Source organism: Homo sapiens, chromosome 13, assembly GCF_000001405.40.
Source record: "Homo sapiens chromosome 13, GRCh38.p14 Primary Assembly".
Lineage (NCBI taxonomy): Eukaryota > Metazoa > Chordata > Mammalia > Primates > Hominidae > Homo > Homo sapiens.
Genome location: NC_000013.11, coordinates 94,385,264 through 94,408,780, shown reverse-complemented (window position 1 = coordinate 94,408,780; position 23,517 = coordinate 94,385,264). Strand labels below are relative to the sequence as shown.

The 23,517-nt window shown below is 39.8% G+C and overlaps 1 protein-coding gene across 4 annotated transcripts in view; it reads right to left on the bottom strand.

Annotated features, from left to right (window-relative positions):
- The window catches only part of GPC6 (glypican 6), a 1,191,492-nt gene continuing 1,168,735 nt past the window's right edge, over positions 761-23,517 (bottom strand). For all 4 annotated transcript variants that reach the window (XM_047429990.1, NM_005708.5, XM_017020300.2 and 1 more), the window contains 2 exons: positions 10,140-10,315; positions 761-5,766 (listed from right to left, as the gene is read on the bottom strand). In XM_047429990.1, coding sequence (XP_047285946.1) covers positions 5,564-5,766; positions 10,140-10,315 — 379 coding nt within the window. In that variant the 3' untranslated portion in view covers positions 761-5,563. The remainder of the gene's footprint in view (positions 5,767-10,139; positions 10,316-23,517) is intronic.

The following is a 23,517-nucleotide window of genomic DNA, read 5'->3' as shown; positions in this document are numbered from 1 at the left end:
TTAAAGGGAAGGTGGCTTTAGTCAAGGTAAATATTCTTCTGCTCTCTTGAATCCAGTTTGTAATCCTTCTTTCACCTTCTCTCCAAACTTGAGCATTCACAGGGTAAAAGTCCCATTTTCCCAATTTCTCGTTTTGCTTTATGCTTCAAGGTATACATGAGCTTGCGCTCCTTAAGCAGGCTATAAAGGCAGGCATCTAATTCCTCCTGGCTTTGTTGCATGCCCTATTTATGAGCCAGCAAAATATGTTTGGCCACATGTTTACACCAGCAAAGAAATATGTCTATGGAATGGAAATGTGTCTGCACTAAGTCAGTTGTCAACGTCTATTTAAACAGACTTAAATTTGTGCCTGCATGTTTCTAGCTCTCAAGATACAAAAACACTTTATCCCTCATTGCCACTGTTTTACAAGTTGGATTTTTTAAATCAATGTAATTCTGTTACCACATTTGTGCATATACTTTAACTATATCCCTGTCCACTTATCCAAAGAGCAAATTAAAATAAATATTGTTGTTACCTGATAAAAGTGTCTGGTTTCATTTGGATGAAAAACACTTGGATGTTTTTCCTGCCCAATAAATTGGTTTCTGTTGCTTCCAAATAAAATTTGTTATATTTTGATCTTATAGATGGAATTATTCTAACATTCCTTAATTGTTTTGTAATAGTCACTTTTCTCAATAAAAACCAAAATAGTAATAATGTGAGCTAAATCACAGTATTTCTTACAGTTAAATGCTGTATTCTTGGTACCTTTGTTTGTATGGGTTCCTTTATTTATAAGATCATTCTTGAAATACATTATTTATCTGTAATAATTATGATTAGCTGCATTAAGGAATGAATAATTTTCAACTGGTGGTTTTTCACAGCCAGTGATAAATCCCCTAGAGCAGGGTTTATAGAGAATAAGAGTTCAATAAGCATTTGTGAAATAAATCTTTAGCAGGTTATACAATATTTAGCATGCCTGAGAGGATGGAAACATTTCAGAAGTATAAAAATCAATGCAATTGGCTAAATTGGGAAATTATTAGTCTTTTCACATTTGATCTTATTTTCTGACCTCATTTATAAAGTATTGACATCAGTTTTCAAGTCACTAAATTTATCCTCTGAGAAGAAATCAGTACAAAAGAACAGCGCTACAGTATTTTCCATACACATTTGGGAAGCTCTAAATGTTCTAAAGTTCAAATAGTTCCTGATTTCAGATGCTGAGTGTACTTAGGAGAGTGGCACTGTTTTAATATACGAGGTTTGTTGTTGTTTTTTAATATTGAAGCTTCTAAAAATGTCTCAAACACAAAAAATTCCATGGCTCTGAAATTTAGACTATGACAATAATTAAGAAAATGCAGAAAGGGCACTGGTAGATTTTTAAAAACTATTTTAATACAAGATTAATAGCAATTTTCTATCCAAATCAGAAATGAAAAATCTTAACCCAAATAATATTCATTTGACAGTCACATAAAATTTTAGATTTGATTGGTGCACACATTTATCCTGCATATATATTATGTATATGCACAGAGAGACCTCACTATTATGCCATTGTTAGGGGTCTTTTTTTGGAAGTACCTCATTACAAGGCAATGTCAAAGGTTCCAGTAACTACTCAACTTTGAATGAAGTTCAAAATGTCCCCATGCTAAGCTGAGTCTGTGCCATAGCAAACCATGATATAGCAAGTCTCCAGAATGTGTACAAATCAATACTCTCTTTGTATAAGTTGGTCTAAAACTAAACACTGGCTAATGTCTCCAACAAGGAGGAACACATTACAAATTTATAAGTTATGGTTTCCTTTACTCTTCTGTTGGCAAAGCTAAATTGTGTTTTTAAATAAAAATCAGGTCTGTTCGTTAGTAAGTAAATGGAAATGTGTTTAAATTTCTGCAAGTTTTAGGTAAAACTTGCATTTCCTAATGCGTCTAGGTTTAATCAAATCATTTGATAATTAGCTTTGCAAAAAGAAGTAATAAAAGAATCACATCTCAGGAATATGTTAAGGTTTTTTCCTCCTTAGGGACTTTAGTTCGTGTTCAGTCTGTAGCCGAAACATGTATGTAATGGCAAAAGAATTAAAGAAGGCTAATGTCTGCAGCAGGGAATATAAATTAAAAATCAGGGTTCTGCCTGTAATAATATTTTCAATGTGTTTGCTTTAAAGAATGTTACTTTTATAATTATTACTACTTATCAATGAATAATAATGTTTTTCAGTGTAGACAAAATAGTATTTTCTATCCCTTACATTTAAAGCAGGTGATACAAGTTACTTGATGCTAGCTAGGTAAGTCATTGTAAGGGAGACAGATTTCTAGTGCTAATGTTCTACGATGGCTATAATCAAAGTACCAACTTGGCCTTCGTGAAAATGACAGAAGGTTGTCATGGTTGTCCTTCAATACAGAACCATAAACAGAGCTCTTATTGGTAAATTTGTAATTCATTCTTCTCTGCTAAAGACTTTAGCCTCTGTTTAGCTTTTGTTGTGACACATACAAAGTATAATATATACCAATTACAGACGTGTATTTCTGTTAGAAAAATACATATTATAACTAAAGAACATGTAAATAGAGGCACTTCAATAAGCTAAGTGTTTGCAGTTATGAGCATCACCCACCAATTTCTAGTGTCAGGTTTCAGTGAGCCCATTCCTCTCTATTCATAACAAAAGTTATGATATGATTACAGAATTTAGGGAACATCAGAGCAAATGAGGGGCAGGTCATAAAAAATAATGAAGCCTCATTGCATCCCCTATCACTATGCTGAAATGAGAAAAAATAATTCGAGGGTTGAATTCCAAAATACTTACTGAAATAGGGTAACTAGGTTAAGTGAAATCCTTTAGGGCCAAAACATTTCTCATGTTAAATTAGTCTGAAAATCATATGACATAGTAGTATGATGATAAAAACTAGGAAGTACAACTTGAATGATATTTTGACCACATCCATGCAGGGTGCTAACACTGTGACATCATTAACTGATATCATTTCAGCTCTCTGCCTGGCTCATTATGCATCACTATATCTCATCAATATGAATCATATTGATAATGAAGGTGTTGAAACAAATGAAGCAGGCGTTTATATATTAACTGTGTGTTTAGTGCGTATAGAACATGGGTTCACATTCACTAATATTATGTGTATTCATACACATGCACAAAACCTTTTGGGGGTGAAAGCACAGGAAAAACAAGGCATCCTGATCTAGTTCATAAAAGAGAATGCAGAAATATTTTAAAAAGGAAAGACCTGGAGTTTAAAGCCATAAAAGCAAGTTATTATTCAAATAGTCTGGAAAATCAAGGTTGATTTAATTTGTATTGCACCTTAATTATTGGAGAAAGACAATACTGACTTCTGAACACAGAATGAAATGAGCAATGTAAATGACTGGTCCTTCATAGAGAAGTCTTATGTGGAATTTGTGGTAGGAAGCCAAAATGTGGGCAGTGAAATGGATGGTTTTCTAGGAGTATGTAATGATGAACTAGATGGTTAATTTCATAAAGGTTTAAATGAAAGAATGCCACAAAGTCTCTCATCATCCTACATTTTATATTTCATTAGGCATAAAGTAGCAATAGATGCTTGTAAATACTTTCTGTCTTGCAAAAGTGCTCAAATATACTTAATACTATTGTGCCACATGTGTTCTACTTAAATGTGATGACTAAATCAATAACTAATTTTAATTTTGATGAGAACAGATTGAAAAATACCATTTACGTGTCAATACTGTCGATGAGTTAATTAAAATGTAACTGGCCTACTATGGTGTCTTGAAACATTACTTTTCCCTACTCCAGATGCATCATAAAAACTAAGAAACATATGGATAGCCAACTGTATTCATAAAGCCCCCAGTTGGGTTTATTTTGCTTCTCTCTGTCAGGGGGAGCGAAAGGCCTGGCTTTGGCCTACTTGGTGAACAGGTTAGGCTGTGGCTCTAAACTGGCCTATTGAGTTAGGTAATGTATCCAAGTGCCAGGCAGGAATCCTAGGCCGAAGGTGTTTTACATGAAAGCAATGGTTTTTCATGAATAACATTCTTTACACATACAGTTTCCATCACCGGTAAAGCCCTGCACACCAATGGCTCATCCCATGAGTTTGGTGTAGTCTGGAGCACCCAGGCTGAAGCACACTCATGCAGAAGGGTGTGCCCTGGCAAATTTTTAATAAATGGACAGTTAGATACATAAAAAGTTCTCTTTCTTGATTCTTGGTGCTCACCGATCACTGAGGAATCCCTTCTTTGAGCAGCACAAAACAAGAAGAGCTGGTTGACAAAACATTTTCTTACAAAGGTGTGTCAACCCTGAGCTTGGAATTAAGAAGTTAAAATCTGTGATTTATATATACATAGATATAAAAATAGATGATCATACTAAGACTAAAAAAGTGAAAGAAATCTCCATGTCAATACTATATATATATATTTTTTGTCTTGACTTTTTTTTTCTGTTGTGAGTTGTTTTGTAAGAGAATGCCCTTGTGATGCAGAAACCAACTGACACAAAGTAAATAGTTAAAAATGAAAACTCAGGAATGGATCTAATTGTGTTTCAATTCATTAAAAAAACTATTGTTTTGGGAGGGTAATGAGCACAGGGGCAGAAACGTCTAGTTAATGTCAAACCTGTGGCAAAAGCAGAGATTGTATCATCAAAGATTATTTTCAATTGAGACTCTTGAGGAAGGTGAATTGATGGGGGTAGCTACTAGTAATTGAAGATGAAGGGGAAAATCTGTGCCAATTGGATACAGCGGACAGACATTAAGGGAATTAAGAATAATGGTGCCATTACTAAATTGAAATTGGGCAGAGTAAGACAGAGGTACTGAGTTGTAGTAATTTGTGTTCTCATATTAAAGACGGGATTCCAAATTTAGTATCAGTACCTCCAGATTAATTTGGTGTTGTTTGGTTAGAGTGCAAGATGATACCTCCAAGACAACAGTGCATTTTCACTACATTTAGAACAAACTTTAAGCTTTCTCCCCATAAGCATTTTTAAACCCGGATTTGTCACAAAAAAGCTTACACTGGAAGTTGGCTGTCAATGCTGAACTTACAGTGTTAAAGTTCATTTATTTTTCTCTGTTTGCTTTTTTGTTGAAAATGTAGCTGTCTTGGGGTTTGGCCCGATTTTACAAGGAAAATTATTTTCTTTCTTCCTTTTTTATTTTAAATGAGAAAAAAAAAACCCTCACAACGTGAGATTCCTTTACTTCTGCAGCATAAAAGCAAATGAAGGTAAGAAAATCTCCTGGTACGAAAAATTTGAGTAAGAATTCTCTCTAGAATAAACAAGGTCCCCACAGATAGCTGAAGGAAAGAGGAAGCAGTTCAGTCTGGCACCCGGTACTCTTTGGGAAAACAAAAAGGGAGGCAGATTGCATTACTGCTCTCTTCTCATAGAAAACGGTAAGTTTTTGTGGCATGGTCCATTGTCCAAGAGTGTAAGAAAAGAAGTGAGTTGGCCATTCAGATAGCTAAAATGCAGTTTCATCTGACCAAAAACCCAAGATTATCTGCACAGTCTCTGCAGTGCCAGGACAATGCAGGTGAGAGACCAGGAGAGCAGGGAGTGGCCACGCTGGGCTGCAGAAGAGTCCACCTCTCTCCGGTCGGGATCCACTGCGGGGGCCTCTGTGGTGACAAACTCAAACTCCGTGGGACACACGTCATCCATGCACCCACTGCCACTCCCTGAGCCACTGGATTCATCACCTAGTGTGGAAAGATTGAAAAAGAAAGTTAGACCACTGATATGTTTAGGCTTTGTGGCCCCACCCAAATCTCATCTTGAATTGTAATCCCCATAATCCCCACCTGTCAGGGGAGAGGCCATGTGGAGGTAATTCAATCATGGTGGTGGTTTCCCCCATCCTGTTCTCGTGATAGTGAGTGAGTTCTCACGAGATCTGATGGTTTTTTAAGGGGCTCTTCCCCCACGGCTTGGCACTTCTCTTTCCTGTCACCTTGTGAAGAAGGTCTTTTGCTTCCCCTTCGCCTTCCACCATGATTGTAATTTTCCTGAGGCCTCCCCAGCCATGCTGAACTGTGAGTTAATTAACCACTTTCCTTTATAAATTACCCAGTCTCGGGCAGTTCTTTATAGCAGTATGAAAACGGACTAATACAACCAACCAGGAAAGAGTGGAAACAGAGCTCAGCAGATATGGGGCATGGTGGTGGGAGGCAAAATCTCCCCATCCATGGTCCCCCACCCTACCCAACAGGATTGTTTTTAATAGGCAGTGGTGTGATGAGTGGGTGGACTGTACAGAAATAGGTGTTTGAAGAACAATATCAACTGATACCTGAGTTATGCAACCCAAGGAATGTGTGAACCCCAGACTCAAGGGGAGGCCACACCTACCATGTTGGCCTTAGACATTTCTTCTGGCCAGTACTTAAGTTTAAGAAATTCCATTCTTTGCTCTTTTTATACTCAGAGCCATTGCTCTAGGAAGATACCATGCTTTTTAAAGGATTTTAAAAGAAAAATAGAGGAAAACAAGTTCTACAAATAGGAAATGAGAGGAGCAGCAGCAATAGTAGTGAGAGGTCTCTATCAATATGACTTTTGTCCACCTTTTCCCCACCTGTGTTCTCCTGAGAGCAAGGCTGGACTCTGTCCCAGCCAGCTTGTCCCTTTAAACCAGAAGTTGACAAACTATGACCTGCTGCTTGCTTTTGTATGGTCCATAACTCCAAAATGGTTTATTTACATAAAAGTATATATTTTATAGATATCCATAAAGTCTATTATCTATCTATCTATCTATCTATCTATCAATCAATCAATCAATCATAGGGTCTGGCTCTGTTGCCCAGGCTGGAGTGTAGTGGCGCCATCATAACTCACTGCAGCCCCAAACTCCTGGGCCTAAGTGATCTTCCTGCCTTAGCCTCCTAAGTAGCTGGGACTATAGGCATGTGCCTCTGTACCTGGTGGTTTTTATAGTTTTAAGTGTTTGAAAAAAATCAAGTGAAGAATATTTTATGACATGTAAAAAGTGTATGTGAAATTCACATTTCAGCATCCATATATGAAGTTTTATTAGAATCCAACTACCCGTTCACATACATATTATCACGTTAGACCAGCAGTGTGGGGTAGTGGTGGCAGAGACGATGTGGCCCTCAAAGATTAACATATTTAATATACGGCCCTTGACAGAAACAGTTGGCCATTCTCTGCTTGAAACCAAGGCCTTGGTACCCACAGAGTATGTCGACCCAGGGTAGCATCGTCCCTTCCTGCCCAACTTGCTTTCTTCCCTATTTCCACTTCTCAAGGCTTGATTCCTTCTTGTTTGACAAATCCTGTCACTCAAACCTGGCCCAGATCAGGCTGCCAATTACTAGCTTTATGAAAGTACTTTTCACCGCTTGGAGGTGGTATTATTTACGTGCCTGTTCACTTGCTTACTGTTTATCTCCTTCTCAAGAATGTTAACTGAGGACATAATCTTTGAGAGGGTAGAGATTTGGTAAATCCTGTTCATTTCTGTACCTCTAAGGTCTTCAGTGGCCCCTGGCATACAGCAAGTGCTCAACAAATACTTGCTGAATAAATAAATGTGCTTTGGGCAGTTACTCAACTTTTGCAGTTTCCTCACTTAAACAAATACAGATGACAATATTGACCTTGGAGAGAGTGTGTGAAGACAAATCACTAGAGTGCTCGAGGACACCAAACCCAGTGCTGCCAATGATGCCTGATGGAAAAAACATGGTTCCTACAGCAAAGGCGACCTGGAATGTACCCTGACATTTGTTATTTAAATGCACCAGGGTAAGCCAGTTAGACTTACTGAGGCTCCGTTTCCTCACCCGTAAAAATGAGAGTAATAACATCTATCTGTTAGGAGAAATGATGTTCCTGGAAGGGCTCAGGAAACTGGAAGCTTTGTAAGGACATTAGCTATTTCTCTCACTTGCTCAATGATTTCCAACCAATGTCCCTAAACTCCTCCCTGCTAGTCCGAAGTGGTGATGCTCTGTTGAGCTGCTCCTGAGAAACCAGGGCCATCCTTAGCTGCTGGATGCTACTTAAGTAAATCTGGGGCAGTGTAGGGACTCTTCTAATGTCCTCTTGAATGAGAAAGACACAATTAGAGAATGAGCACAGTTTCTTTTTTTAATGGGACATCTAAATACCAGATAAGATCACTTCAATACACTATACTAGGTTTTCAACATTTTCTCTGATTTACCTTTAGTGGCCTTTACAAGGGGGAAAATTCCTGTTAATTAAATTCAGAGATATCAGAATTGCTAAGGGAATTGTTCTGAACACTGGTGTCATGAACAAGAAGTAATACAACCTTTACAGAGATATTATTAAAATGATTTAGAATATTAAAAAATGTGGGAAGCAAATATGACAGGAGATTTTGGCTGGAAAAAATAATGGCCCCATCTCTTTTTGAAAAGGAATCACAAATGCAAATATTAAGGGGTGGGATGAGTAACTTAAAAAAATGTTCAAAGCAATAAGGATGCTGATGCTTATAAGATGTGATAATGGTTTGTATGACAGACACCAGCCTAAAATAGAGGGCCACATTTGGTGCTTGGGTTAGAACTCAGGGATCCTCTTAATTGTTGATTTTATTTTCTTTTGAGGGGAAATGGAGTAAGATCTCTGCCTCCTGGCCATTCCCTGAGCTTTGCAGCTTGATATGTGCATAACCTCTTTAGGTCAGAGAGGAGTGAGAAGCAACAAAGCCAAACCAACTAATTCTTATGTATCTTGAATTATTCATTCCAACAGCCACTCTCTAGATGATAGAGCACTTTATTTAATACAGAAGACAATGGATAAAATGAGAGGTGTGAGGCTAAGTGCTAACAAGGGTGAAGCAACAATGGCTGAAACCTGTGTAATGTTCTCTTCTGAAGAGGAAAGGAGGGGTTTAGTAAAAGGAGGAGAGATAATGGGATTATTTTGAGGAATTTTACAGCCATAACGTCCATTGGGTTGGTAATTATTCTGTGTTTAGAAAATCATTTTTTTGAGTTCTTTAAAATGGAATAAAGCACAAAAATTTTTTGCAGGGGATAACTTGGTAGGCTGATAACTATGACTGAAATGACTTGAGGTCTTCTATCTGTAACTTATTTCTTTCTATCTCATTAATCCAAGCACACAAGCATCATCTTATGATTCAGTGACCAAATTACAGAATCACTGGCAACTTCACATCTTATGTTCAAGAATCCTTGTCCTGGGAATTCTCTTTGTAAGGGTAATATTTTTAAAAAGCAACAAGCAACAATGACAGAAAAAACTCTTTTTTTGTAGTTAGTCATCTTGAAACTACTCAGACAAAACCCATATATAGTTTCATGTCAATGTTCACTTAATAGTCTTCCAAATAATTTTTGATGCTTCTTTGATCCTTAATGAAATAGTCGTGTGTAATATTGCACTAGAATTTTACAATTTCTCTCAATATTTCAGATATAAATGTCTATGGGTTGTGTATGTGCATAGCTGGATAGAGAGGGAAATGATGTAGTCAGCTACATCTACCCACCAGACACTATCATAGCTCCTCAAATGAGGCTTCTAAAAGCCTCTGAAGCAGGGATGCTTCCCATTCTATAGAAGAGGAACCTGAGACTCAAGAAGTAGAGTAATTTGTAGAGACTCTAATTAATAAAGAATAAGACAGGGATTCTAGCTTAGGCTTGTCTAAGCAATCTGCTGAGCTTTCTTCTTTTGGTGGGAACAGGGCAGAAGTTTGGGTCAGATGTGAATAGTGATGAGGACAGGAGAAAGTGAAAAAATTACTTTGCTGTTTTGTCATTAATGAATCAACTGGTAGATGAAACTCAATTTCAGCTTTGGTATGGCTGAATGTAATCCATTGCAATTATTCCTTGTGTTGTGGAATTTATGATTTTATTCGTATCCTATGTTTTGTGGATCAGAGCTCTCTGTCCAAAAGACTATAACAAGAATCACAGCCTGAGGAAGAATGAGAATAAATTAAAAGGGCATATTGCTCTTGAAGAAAGTCAGGGCATCATCTTCTAAAACCATTTTTTACTTTGAAAATTTCTGGTGCTGGGAAGGATTTTCTTACTTGTGTCCTGGAAATTGACATCATTGCCATTGTAGGCGTTTTTTAGTTTGTTGGTCATCACACGGAGAGCCATAATCTGCTGTCTGATGAAAGTGTCAGGCCGAGTGATGTCCACATCCACCTCGGGATTGTTGATCTGGTTGGTGAGCCCATCATTCATGATCTCAGGCAAGTATCTGCAAGGCAGAGAGTGAGAGAACACCTCAGGGAGATGCCACAGAAACTGTAAAACCAGATGCTGCCATGCAAAACCAGATGACTGTCTCTGACAGTCAGCCAAGACACCTGGCAAAAACTGGATCTAGTTCCTGGAAAAAAAATGCCAAATAGTGAAAACATGGAATACATTTTTTCAGATGAAGATGTGGCTAAAATAGCCTCAGACTAGTTTTTTTTTTTTTTTTAAATGGCACTGAGTTCTTAGGTAGGTCTGCCTACAGATAAATGCGAAATTGGGGACCTATAAGAAACCACTTGTATTAGTCTGTTCTCACACTGAAACATACATACCTGAGACTGGGTAATTTAGAAAGAAAAAGAGGTTTAATAGATTCACAGTTCCACATAGCTGGAGAGACCTCACAATCATGGTGGAAGAGGAGCAAAGGCACATCTCACATGGTGGCAGGCAAGAGAAGTGCCAAGTAAAAGGGGGAAATGCCCCTTATAAAACCATCAGATGTTGTGAGAACTCACTATCATGAGAACAGCAGCATGGGGTAACAGCCCCCATGATTCAATTACCTCCCACCAGTTCCCTCTCATGACACTTGGGGATTATGGAACTACAAGTCAAGATGGGATTTGGGAGGGGACACAGCCAAACCACATCACCACTACTTAACATTAATGACTCTTTCCTCCCTCCATCCCAAATGTTAGCTTAGGTCAAGGATTCAATGCCTTCCTCAGTTCTGCTAATTTTGGTAGTAAGAACTGGGCTTATAAATTACATATGATTCAAGAGAGTTCTCTGTGAGGATGCCCATTCTCAACTGCAGAGGCCCTACCTCAGATCTTAATCAGAAGAAATTCTGGATATGAAAAACCTGCTTTGGGGACATTTCAGAAGTAAGCAGTGGTTACTGGAATGATTGAGGTGTCTATTAGGGTTTTTATTTTGTAATAGAATCTTGGGTTCGATTAGGTAGATTTACCAATGTTCAGTAAAACAGAAGGGTAAAATCAAATGATTCTGAGTTTCACATTTCTTTCCCTTGTACCAAAATGTCAAAATTGTCAGTCCTTCAATGTGAGCTGCCTAAGCTGCCTAGGGGTATTTATATAAGTGGAGGCTAAAGATCTTGGAAATGTGCTTGGGGCCCTCTCTGACTCCTTACTCTCACAATCTGTCCATCTTCCAGTCCTCTTCCTCTTCTCACAGAGCTTCTTATGCTTGCTTCTATTTTCCCATTTCCCATTTCTCTCACTGGAGAGACACCCCCCTGTAGCCTCAAAGTGACCTCCCCAATGCCCTTCTTTCCTCTCTAGAGCATCCTGCACATGCTGTATGATTAGTTTTCAAAAAATATTGCTTTCATCATATCACCCTTCTCTTTAAAAACTTTTGAGGATAGTAGCTAATGTCCAATAACTACCAGGCACTGCAGTAAAACATTTGACGCACATCTTTAAATTCAGCCCAACAGCAAATCTAGGAGATGGGGAGTATTTTATCCTTGTTTTATGAAACAGAAAACTGAGGCTTAGTGAGAATAAGCAAATGTGCAAAGTCACAGAGCTAATAGCTGGCAAAACCATGACTTACTCCCAGTCTAGCTCTGGAGCCCCAGTGCAAAAACACTGCCCCAGACTGCCTGGAGGATCATCAACTAGAATTCACATGTTATAGCTCAGCAATCAAAGGGTCTCCACCCACTTCTAATTTCTCATACTCTCTCCAGGGACCCTCCTTGTCTTATAGAGTCAACTCACTGTAGCCATCCCATGCCTTCCTGTCCTACAGGTTTTCCTTGCATAGTGCAATTTCCCATTTAAGTCCCAAATACCCTTAAAGACCCAGGCCTATCCTCACTTTCTCCTCAAGATATTTCCCAGCTTTCAGGGATCTGCCCACCCTTTTGTAAGGGGGCCAGGTTTGGTTGGGCATTTCGTGCACTGCACAAACTCACCCCTTGAAGCTGCAGGAGTGAGTTGGTGCTGAAATCCAGCCTCACTTCTGTGGTCACCAAGCTACACCCCTGCAGGGCACCATCCACCAAAAGACGTGCCTTTATTCTTTTCTTTTTGGTACTCTTTTTATTTTAGAAAACTTCAATACATGTTAAAGTAAAGACAATAACATAATGAACCCCCATGCACCCATCTGGGTGCGTTTTTCTAATTCCTACCAAGGTGCTATATTTGTCTGTGTCCTGGTAAGAAACAGACAGCACACTCAAAGGGGTAATAAAGAGAGTTTAAAGAAGACGCTATTTATAAACGTGTGGACAAGTTAAAGGAAACCAGCCCAGAGAGGTGAAGCGCCCTGGGGCTGGCCACAGGAGAGGGGGCCCCAGGGGATAAAGGGAAGAAGTTGTTAGTGGAATGAACAAGAACTGATACCACAGAGAGGCACCCAAAGACACAGTAACTGCCAAACCAAGACCTATCAGGGAGGGGACCGGGGCAGGATGCCCTGACCCCTTTAGTCCCGCCTCTTGACCTCCAGCTGCTGCCTCCCATTGGCTGATCCAACTGGAAGCTGGTGGGCAAGGGAGCCCAGATGATATAGCTTGTAGAGGGTCCTGGAGGGCCAGGGCCACAGTGGATTGATGAAGATTGGGTCTGACAGGGAATCAGGACATCCAGCTCTGGCCCTCTACAGGCCTGGGACAGCCCTACCTAATTGCCATTACTGTTATTCTTTTACTTGCTCTACTGTTGTTGCTTGAAAGCTCAAAAAACATCTTTTCCTCTATTTTATTATTCCTATCTACATATTCTTGCATAATATCCATATGCTTGAAATTCTTCCCTTCCTGCAAGTGATTTTCCAAGTTCTGGAAACCAAAAGCTCTATCCATCAACCTCCAAAAGAAGAACTACACAGAGAAACTTTGGTATTTAAGCTATTTTTCAGGTATTGAATCTATGCTTGATGTGTTTGTGTATGAATTGGTTTACTCATTTTAAATCAGAGGTCCCATGAATAAGCTCCATGTCTTCATCCATATCTTGAACAAAATCGACTTCACAATGCTCACTAAATAATGAATAATAAAACACACAGAGTGCATTGTAAATTCTTTTCCATGAAGCTTTAAGTATTTACTGCTCTAAAAAATGGCCTCATAGAAAATTTTAAAAGCCGTGGACTCATATCTCTTTCTTTTGCCATAAAGCATAACTTCTGTCCTGCCTTTTACTATATCTCATATGCAAATAAATTCCTGTTTGATCCTGAGACTGTTTTCCTGATGTAACTTCTAAAATATGCCATTGGATTGACTATTACTGACAGGCAATTATATGAGCCAGGCTCCGTGAGCTCTACCTAATTATTACAGCCTATTGGAATAAACAATAGCAGGTGCAGCCCATCTTTTGCTGACACCAGAGCTGAGAGGTGATGGTCGATTCTGGCATTGCTCCTCTACATTTTGGGAAATGACTCCTGCAGTTGTACCTATGCTGAGTCAGAGGCGAGCTTTGTTTCTTTCAGATGCTGTGTGCACTGCATGGTTAGCTGAGAGTCATTTATCAGAAGCTCACTGCAATAGCTTACATGGGAATGCTACCCCTGGGAGTCTGAACATCCAGGAACAATAAGAGACTGCCAAGTAAACCCAGCCTCTAACTGTGCCTACTGATGCTCAGCTGCTTACAATAAAAACAAGTAACAGCGCATCCGTATCCTCAAGAGCCTTTTCTCCTTTTGGTGTATTCAAAAGATGACTTTGGAGACATTGTGAAAACTTAAACCTAAAATAGCTGAAAATAAAAATGGTCATTTTGTCACTCCAGAGGTAAGTCCTGAATCTAAATCTATAGATGTCCATTGTGCGACCCCCGGAAAGGGTCTGTGAAAGCCCCACTCAGCATGAGGACCTCATGAGCCCATTTATTTCTTCCCTCTCACATTTGGTTTCTTTACATAACACTCCTGTCCTGCAAGAATAGATATGTCTTTGAGCCCACAATGTTATTCCTTTTATTGGGTTTTGCACAGTTTTTTGACATGACAGCATCCTGTTTTTGCACCATCATATCCCTGGGAGACATAGAAGGAGAATTTTGGCACAGAGAGCCCATGTTCCAAGGCTGGATGCAAGTTTACCTGGTGGATCCAGCCTTGGGAGAAGCCAGAAGTGAGGACAACCTGGAGAGTTGAGCAGGGATGTCATGGTTTGCCAATGCGGCTTGCCCTGGGCAAGTGGGTGGCATTCATGAACAGCCAAGCACAGCTTCCTCATTTTGGTTGCCTTCTGTTCTGGAAGAGCATGGCTAGGAACTAAATCTTTGGCAGTTTTACAGAATTATTTTTCTTTGCATCTAACTGCATATTATAAATGTGAGTGTCCTTGACTACATCCAAACATTAGAACCGATTAGGGTAGAAGAGTCCTATGGAAATTTGGGGGTGAGAGGGCTGATACATCCAGCCCTGTGGGTAGAATTGACAGTTCTTGTCATCTGAGAGATATTAAACAGGACCATCCCCACAGAAGTTTCCCAGCAGCCAACCACAGCCCCCGCTATTCTCAACATTCAACATCACTCCTGACAGTTAAACCAATGCTTCCAGAAAGACCCTGTTGATATGTGAATGTGCTTAGTATTTCTCATCATCACGTTAATGCTGGTAGCTGTTTTGATGTAAGGCACTGCATATTGGGGGAGTAGGTCACATGACTCTCAAGATTTAATGAAATTTAAAAGCCAGTAGGTCTGAGAAGTGAGGCACTAGCAAGGAAGGTTAGCCTGGTGGTGCTTGGTGGGGGTGTCATGAATCCAAGTAGGAGCTAAGGGAGGAATGGGGAGAAATGGGGAGCTTGGGTGCCGGTCTGGGCTTCTTCTCAGGTGCATGATTCTTCCCCTGACTGCTACTGCCTCAAGGCACAATGAGAAGGGTAAAGCGAAAGCAATTTCAGTACTGTTTGTTGCCACAAATGAGCTCCACTCAATACACATCTCTTCAAATTCTAAGCTACCTATTCATTCATGTTAAGCAGGCTTAAGAGTTTTACTCATCTAAGTAGATGTAAATCCCTATGTGCAGTGCCAAAATTCAAGACCCCCCATTTTTTCCTTCAATCTGCTTGTTAGCAAAACTTCATCTCGTCTGAAACAAGGTTAATTATAGTCCTCATTTATCTCACTCAGTGTGAATTTTAATACATTTTGCTGCAGAAATACTAATATGTTTGATTGTGGATTGCAACCCCAGACCCCACTGGAGATACGATGTAATATATAGCATATTCACTGTGGTCATTTTCTGAAATCTAAGAAGTTATGGATTCTGAAACACATGTGGTTTCAAGGGTCTCAAATAAGGGACTACAAGCCTATGCTATCAGCAACCTCTTCTAGAAGATTTCTTAAAAATCTAAGTTTTAAACTTCCCACATATTAGGATGGCTATAATTTAAAATAAACAAACAAAAAATAACAAGTGTTGGTAAAAATGTGGAGAGATTGGAACCCTGTGCACTGCTCTTGGGAATGTGACATGGTGTAGTTGCTGCAGAAAACTGCATGGCAATTCCTCAAAAAATTAAAAACAGGGCCGGGTGCAGTGGCTCACACCTATAATCCCAGCACTTTGGGAGGCCGAGGAGGGTGGATCACCTGAGGTCGAGAGTTCGAGACCAGCCTGACCAAGAGGGTGGATCACCTGAGGTCGAGAGTTCGAGACCAGCCTGACCAAGAGGGTGGATCACCTGAGGTCGAGAGTTCGAGACCAGCCTGACCAAGAGGGTGGATCACCTGAGGTCGAGAGTTCGAGACCAGCCTGACCAAGAGGGTGGATCACCTGAGGTCGAGAGTTCGAGACCAGCCTGACCAACATGGAGAAACCCCATCTCTACTAAAAATACAAAATTAGCCACGCGTGGTGGCGCATGCCTGTAATTCCAGCTACTTGGGAGGCTGAGACAGGAGAATCACTTGAACCTGGGATGCGGAGGTTGTGGTGAGCTGAGATCACGGCCATTGCACTCCAGCCTGGGCCACAAGAGCTAAACTCCATCTCCAAAAAAAAAAAAAAAAAAAAAAAAAAAAATTAAAAATAGAATTACCATATGATCCAGCAATTGCATATATACACACCCCAAGTACCAAGAACCAATGTTCATAGTACCATTATTATTATATATATGAATAATACATATATTATTATTACAGCTGCTACTTGGATTCATGACACCCCTACTAAGCACCACCAGGCTAACCTTCCTTGCTAGTGCCTTATTTCTCAGAACTATTGGCTTTCAAATCTCATTATTATATACATGAATAATGGTACTGTGAAGAGAAGTATACAGATATCTTTGGGATATCCCAAAGAATGAAAGGCAAGGACTTGAGCAGATATTTATATACCTCTGCTCACAGTACCATTCATAATAACCAAAAGGTGAAAGGTGTCCATTTATGGATGAATGGAGAAATAAAATATGGTATACACATAGAGTGGAAATATAATTCAGCCTTAGAAAGGAAGAAAATTGACATGTGATACCACATAGATGAACCTTGAGGACATTATAGTAAGTGAAATAAGACAGTCACAAAAGGACAAATATTTTATGATTCCACTTATATGAGGTACCTAAAATAGGCAAATTCAAAGAGACAGAAAATAGAATGGTGGTCAGCAGGGCCTGGGGGTAGAGGGGAGGGAATTTATGTTTAATGGGTACAGAGTTTCAGTTTAGGAAGATAAAAAAGTTCTGTGGATGGATGGTGATGATGGTTGCACAACCACGTGACTGCACTTAATGCCACAAAACTATTCATCGTACAATGGTACATGTTTTTATGTTTGGTATATTTCACCACAATGTTAAAAATTCAAGTTTTAGTTATAACTTTACTAAAGTTCTTGATAAGAATTACTTTTTTCCCTTTCCATTTTTCTTGGATGGAAAGTTGGATTATTCAACGTAAACTGTGACCTTCTGCTTTAAGTGTAATTATAAATTCTTGAAGATCATTAAGCTAGGGTTGTCTGAGGCACTAGGGGACTTCATGAGATCTGACATCAAAATACGGTTAAGCGCATAAGGGCTATGTATGACTGGGTCACCTGTGATCTCTCTGGGACCCCGCAGTGTGACCATGGACAAGTCATTTAGCTACTTTATATAATTATGCAATTTTAATGTAGTCTTATGAAAATTAAGTTGTTAACATGGCTCCCCAAATTGCCAAACTAATTTCTTGTGAGTGGATGACGGTAGCAGAATCTGAAATTTTAAAGCCTGAATTCATGTTCAGAAAAAGAATTTGCTGTGGCTCTTTTCCAGTTGGAGAATGTGAGGCAGGAAATGGTTTGGGGATGCTTTTGGAGAACACATAGCTCATTGATTGCAGCAGTAAGCAGGAGCAAAATTCTTTGACTTGGCCTCTTAATTCATTGGCAGGAACTCCCCAAACCCATTCTTTCTTAGTAGACCTGCAGTTAGCAAACTACAGACCAGAAAGGAAAAAAAGACTCACGAGCCAGTTTTCAGGAATGCCATGTTGTGAACAAGAAACATGCTCCCTTCTTCCTATTTGCAGCCAGCTCTGCCTAACATTTATTTTTTTTTTCCCATTTGCAAGAGGTTCACACAGCTTCCTCCCTGCCAGGACAGTCAGGAAGACTTTATGGGGTCCTCTCTCTTCAAGTGTGTCTGAAGAAGGGAAGTGGGCATTTTAGAACACCTGGCTTGACAGTAGCCAGTTCTTTCCTAAGACAGAATTCCCACTGATATGGTTTGGATTTGTGTTCAAATCTCATGTCAAATTTTAATCTCCAATGTTGGAGATGGGTGATGGTGGGAGGTGATTGGATCATGGGGGTGGGTTTCCCCTTTGGTGTTGTTCTCATGATAGATTTCTCTCGAGAGCTGGTTGTTTAAAATTGTGTGGCACCACCCCCTTCCCTCTCTTCCTCCTGCTCCAGCCATGTAAGACATGTCTGCTTTCCCTTCGCCTTCCACCATGGTTGTAAGTTTCCTGAGGCCTCCCCAGCCATGCTTCCTATACAGCCTGTGGAACTGTGAGACAATTAAACCTCTTTTCTTTATAAGTTACCCACTCTCAGTTATTTCTTTATAGCAGTGTGAGAACGGATGAATACACCCACCTTTCCAAGGTGTTTGACTTGGTATATATTGGATATTTTACAGTTCTTTAAAATGCAGTTAGAGTGCTTTGGGCCACACCCCACAATTAGGTTAAAACAATATTGTCCTCAAGACGGCCAAGTCACTATCTTTGACAGATTTGCCATCATCGTGCATCATTCCATCTCCTTCCATCTGTTTAGACTTACCCAGTCATGACTTGCTGTTTTCGTTGGTTAGTCAACCCACACTCTGTGATGAGAGTGACTGATCTATTTTCTAGATTTTTCTACTTTTCCTATTTCTTACAATTTACTGTGTTTACCTCTTGGCCTTGGGAAGGATTTCCTTGGGGACACAATATTTCTGTCAGGATCAGGTGCCTTGAAAAACAGCAGGGGCTCCCTGCAAAAGCCATGTTTCCAACGGGTCCGATTAATTTTGTCCCTCAGCCAGCTCCTTGATAGCCTCCTCCCAGAAAGCATTTTAAAGAAAGGACACAGTGAAAGCTCAACACTGCCTTACAAGGAGCAACGTCAGAAAGCTGTTTTGTCAGTTTTATGGGGGAGAGGGAGGAGTCTGGAAATGACTGACTCAAGACCTCTGAAGGCTCTGAAATAATTTATGTCCTATCAGATAACATGTGTGCCAGTGGGACTTGGCTCTCAGACTGGCTTTCATTTTTCCTGCCCTGTCTCATTGTCTGTCATACTCTCCTTTTCTTTTTAATCCCTCTGAGTTTGGAAAAAGGGTCTGCGTGAAGAGAAAACAATGCTACAAGAAGTTAGAGGTGATGCAGTTTAACATGGCTATGTTCTAAAAAAGCAAGAATCTGCCTCTTTATGAGCAAAAAGGTAAGGGCCTATTTGAACACCATTAGGGCTTTATTTTTTCTTTTGCTGCTGCCTGACAAAGTTCTAACCTGTATATGCTAACCATATAAAAGCTTTATTTCCCTCCAAGCCTATGCTTTCCTGCCTCCTATCTAATCATTCTTTTCTAGCTTCTGTACAGACAGCTCATTATGGCCACCGACTGCCCAGAACGCCCTTCTCAGGGATGACTGATGACTGCAAATGTCCTCCTAGGGTCTCTCAGTTCACCCCAGGAACTTTGGGAGGCCTAGATTTGTAACCTGCACCATGAGTCTTTAATTTTTTTCCCTTTGGCCTTCTAGATTATTATCGATTTTCCTCTGTAACTTACTAGCTTCCTTTCAGTTCCTATTTGTCTGAGTGGAGTCAGAATGTTGCTGTGTCTTCTCACATTTACCCCTGAGAAGTTGCTTAGGTAAGTGAAAAATAGAAGGAGTAGAAATTACACTTGCTCCTGCTGGTCACTGAAGACGACTAGGCTGTCTTTCTCAAGTGACAGACATTGCCATGAACTCTAAGAAAAATCCTGTATTAGCTCTTCTGATAAGTAGGATGTGATTCTGAACACAATGTCTGTGTGCCACCAAAATCCACATGTTGAAGCCCTAATCCCCAGTGTGATGGTACCTGGAGATAGGGCCTTTGGTACCTCTTAGGTACCCTCTTACGGTTGAATGAGATCATGAGGGTAGATGATTTCTCATACTAGCTCCCTTATAAGAGAAAGGAACCAGGACTCTCTGTCTCTCTAAGGCTACAGTAAGGAGGCCATTGTCTATAAGCCAGGAAGAGAACCCAATCTGCCGGCACCCTGATCTTGGACTTCCCAGCCTCTAGAACTATGAGAAATAAATTTCTGTTGTTTAGTCTATTATATCTGTGGTATTTTTTGAGCTAAGACACTAATTGAATAAAATGCTGACCAAAGATACAAAGTATTCATCCTTGCCATGTATCAAAATGGCACTATTAAAGACCAGAGGTTTGTGTGGATGATATTCTGCATTGCGAAGGCTGTGCTGTATTTCTAACTTAAAATTCTCTCCTGATGCACATGTGAAGCCTATGCAATTCATTGTTGAGAAGACTTCAACCTTGTCCATAACCTGTCTATCATTAGTGGGTGATGTTATAATTGAACGACGTGAACTCCTAGCTCATATTGCTGTTGTTATTTTTAATATAAGAAAAGCCCCATTAAAGGAAACATCAAGGGTATCAGTGAAGAAACCCCCAAAATTGCAACATGCTCCCTGAGGCTTGTGTGTGGACTGAAAAAGGTAATATCTTACATGTTAATAGGGACATTTAAAACACCAGATAAAACACATGGTTGCCAATTAAATGTGAATTTCAGGTGAACAACGAATCCTTTTTTTAGTATAAGTGTGTTCCATTTGTTGTCTATTATCTTTATGTGCTAGATCTGGCAATCCTGCCTTCAAGCCTTGCTACTCCAAGTGGTCCCTGGATCAACAATAACTGCATCACCTAAAAGCTTGTTAGAAATGCTGAATCTCACTCAGGTTCTACCCTAGACTTACCGTCTTAGCTTGGGCTTCTATGACAAAAATCCCACAGACTGGGCAGTTTAAACAATGCACATTTATTTCTCACAATTCTTGGGACCATGGTGTCCAAGACCAAGGTGCTGGCATATCCTGTGTCTGATTAGGGCTCTCTTCCTAGTTTGCTGATGGCTGCCTTGTTGTGTCCTCACACGGCAGAGAGAGAGAGAGAGAGAGAGAGAGAGAGAGAGAAACTCATGTCTCCTCTTACAAGGGTAGTAATCCCATTAATGAGGGCTGCACCCTCAAGACCTAATTATCTCCCAAAGTCCCCACCTCCAAAGATGATTGCACAAGGGGTGAGGATTTCAACTATGAATTTTCGGGGGACACAAACAGTCAATCCATAGCACTTACTGAATCAGAATCTGCATTTTAATAAGATCTCCAAGAGTTTAGCCTGCACCCTAAAGTTTGAGAAGCACTGTTTTAGGATTACAAACTATTTGTATTGAGATTATCTCATTGATCTTCACATTGTCCCAGGAGAAAGAGGAAGCAGGGAAGACATTCCCTTAACCACTTTGTTTAACCCATTCTTGTTTTCAGAATGAAAATTTAAATGCTGATCAGGTCACTGTGATTGGGCACACTTGCAATTTCCTCCCATCAAAGGGCAGAGTCTCCTCTTACCCTGCCTCCTGTTGCAGACCTGTTGAGCTACAGAGGCAGAGTGAGATCTGTCAGAGATGGGTGAGGGTGGAGTGACTTGGGGGAGCAGGGGGATGAAAGTGGGTTCAAACCTTAGGGGAGCCACTGCTTACACACCCTTAACCACAGTCTCAACACTGCAGATTGCACCCTGCAGACTGCCACAGCACCCATACTGCTGTGTATCCTGTTCTATTTGAAGTCATCATCAATTTCAACTGGTGCCATTACTTAATAACAGCTTTTTAAAAAATAAGATAATCACTGGAGTAAATAGACATATCTACTGTAAGAGTCATTTTGATGTCAGAAATGTTAACATTTGAAATAGGTATGTTTCTGAATCAAGGAAGTACGGTAGAGAGCTATGGAGCAAGATTCAGAAAGTAATCAGGAAAAATAAGGTGATGGAAGACAAGCCTGATTAAACACTTAGATAGGACAAAAGGCTGCAGGAGCGGGTACAAACAGAAAAATGTGGCCGAAAGAGTCTGATGGATAAAACAGAAAGAGAGGAAGAAATGTCTGGTTTATTGGAGACCTATCACACAGGCTTGAGTTTATAAACTTCAGGCATGACAATCTCTATCAGTTCTAATAAGCATCTCTGCTTCATATCTATTAATACGTGATGGATTTTTTAAAAAAATTATTTCTTCTTATTTTTTATTTTTATTTTTTAGAGATAGAATCTCACTCTGTTGCTCAGGCTGGAGTACAGTGGCACAATAATAGCTTACTGCAGCCTCAAATTCCTGGGCTTAAGTGATCCTCCTGCCTCAGCCTTCTGAGTAGTTAAGATTATAGGCGCCTGCCACCATGCCTAGCTACTTTAATATTTTTTGTAGAGACAGGGTCTCACTATGTTGCCCAGGCTAGTCTTTCTTTCTTTTCTTTTCTTTTTTTTTTTTTGAGACAGAGTCTTGCTCTCTCGCCCAGGCTGGAGTGCAGTGGTGTGATCTCTGCTCACTGCAAGCTCTGCCTCCCAGGCTCATGCCATTCTCCTGCCTCAGCCTCCCGAGTAGCTGGGACTACAGGCACCCACCACCACACCCAGCTAATTTTTTGTATTTTTTAGTAGAGACGGGGTTTCACCATGTTAGCCAGGATGGTCTCGATCTGCTGACCTCATCATCCGCCCGCCTTGGCCTCCCAAAGTGCTGGGATTACAGGCTGCCCAGGCTAGTCTTAAACTCTTGAGCTCAAGTGATCCTCCTGCCTCAGCTTCTCAAAGTGTTGGGATTACAGGTGTGAGTCATTGCCTCTGGCCAGATTTTCTACAAATAAAGTTTCTAGTTCTTTTATTTCACATAGGTGATAAAAGTAACTTTTCTTTCTTTTTCTTTTCTTTTTTTAACAACCATTCCTAAACAATTAAAAAGACCTGTCATCTTAAAACTCATAATTCAAAAGTGTGAAAAAATGTTATTATCTGCATTATAAATGGATTCTTACAAAATAGTTTAGTAAATTTAAGTGAAAAATTTCTTTGATGTTTTTCTAGATGAATTAATATTTGGATAAGAAGAAAGCTTCAATTACATTTAATTCAGCAAGTCTTTATTGGTGATCCATTTACTATGCTAGTATATAAAAATATAATATTAGGATTCCCTGCTAGTGGAATAATTAAAAAAAAGAACTAAAGGAAACCATGGAATTGTAATTGTTCAATGGGTACATAATTTGAATCACAAATATTTGACAGCTTCATCTTTTAATAATATACTTATGCATAATAAAAGATATATTTTATTGGACCAAATTCTGGACTATTCCTACAAGTGATTTCATTGCATTAAACTGGATCATTTTCCCACCTGCATAAAATCTTCCAATGGCTTCCCATTGATCTCAGGATGAAATTTAAATCTTTTTCCTGAGGACTGATCCAGGTGTTTCTCTACCAGTGTGGTCCGTTCCTAAACCTGCAGTCTAGCAGTAGGGTACTGATGTTTCCAGGTTCACTGGGCTCACCCCAGTCACTGTACCTTTTCAGGTATTGATC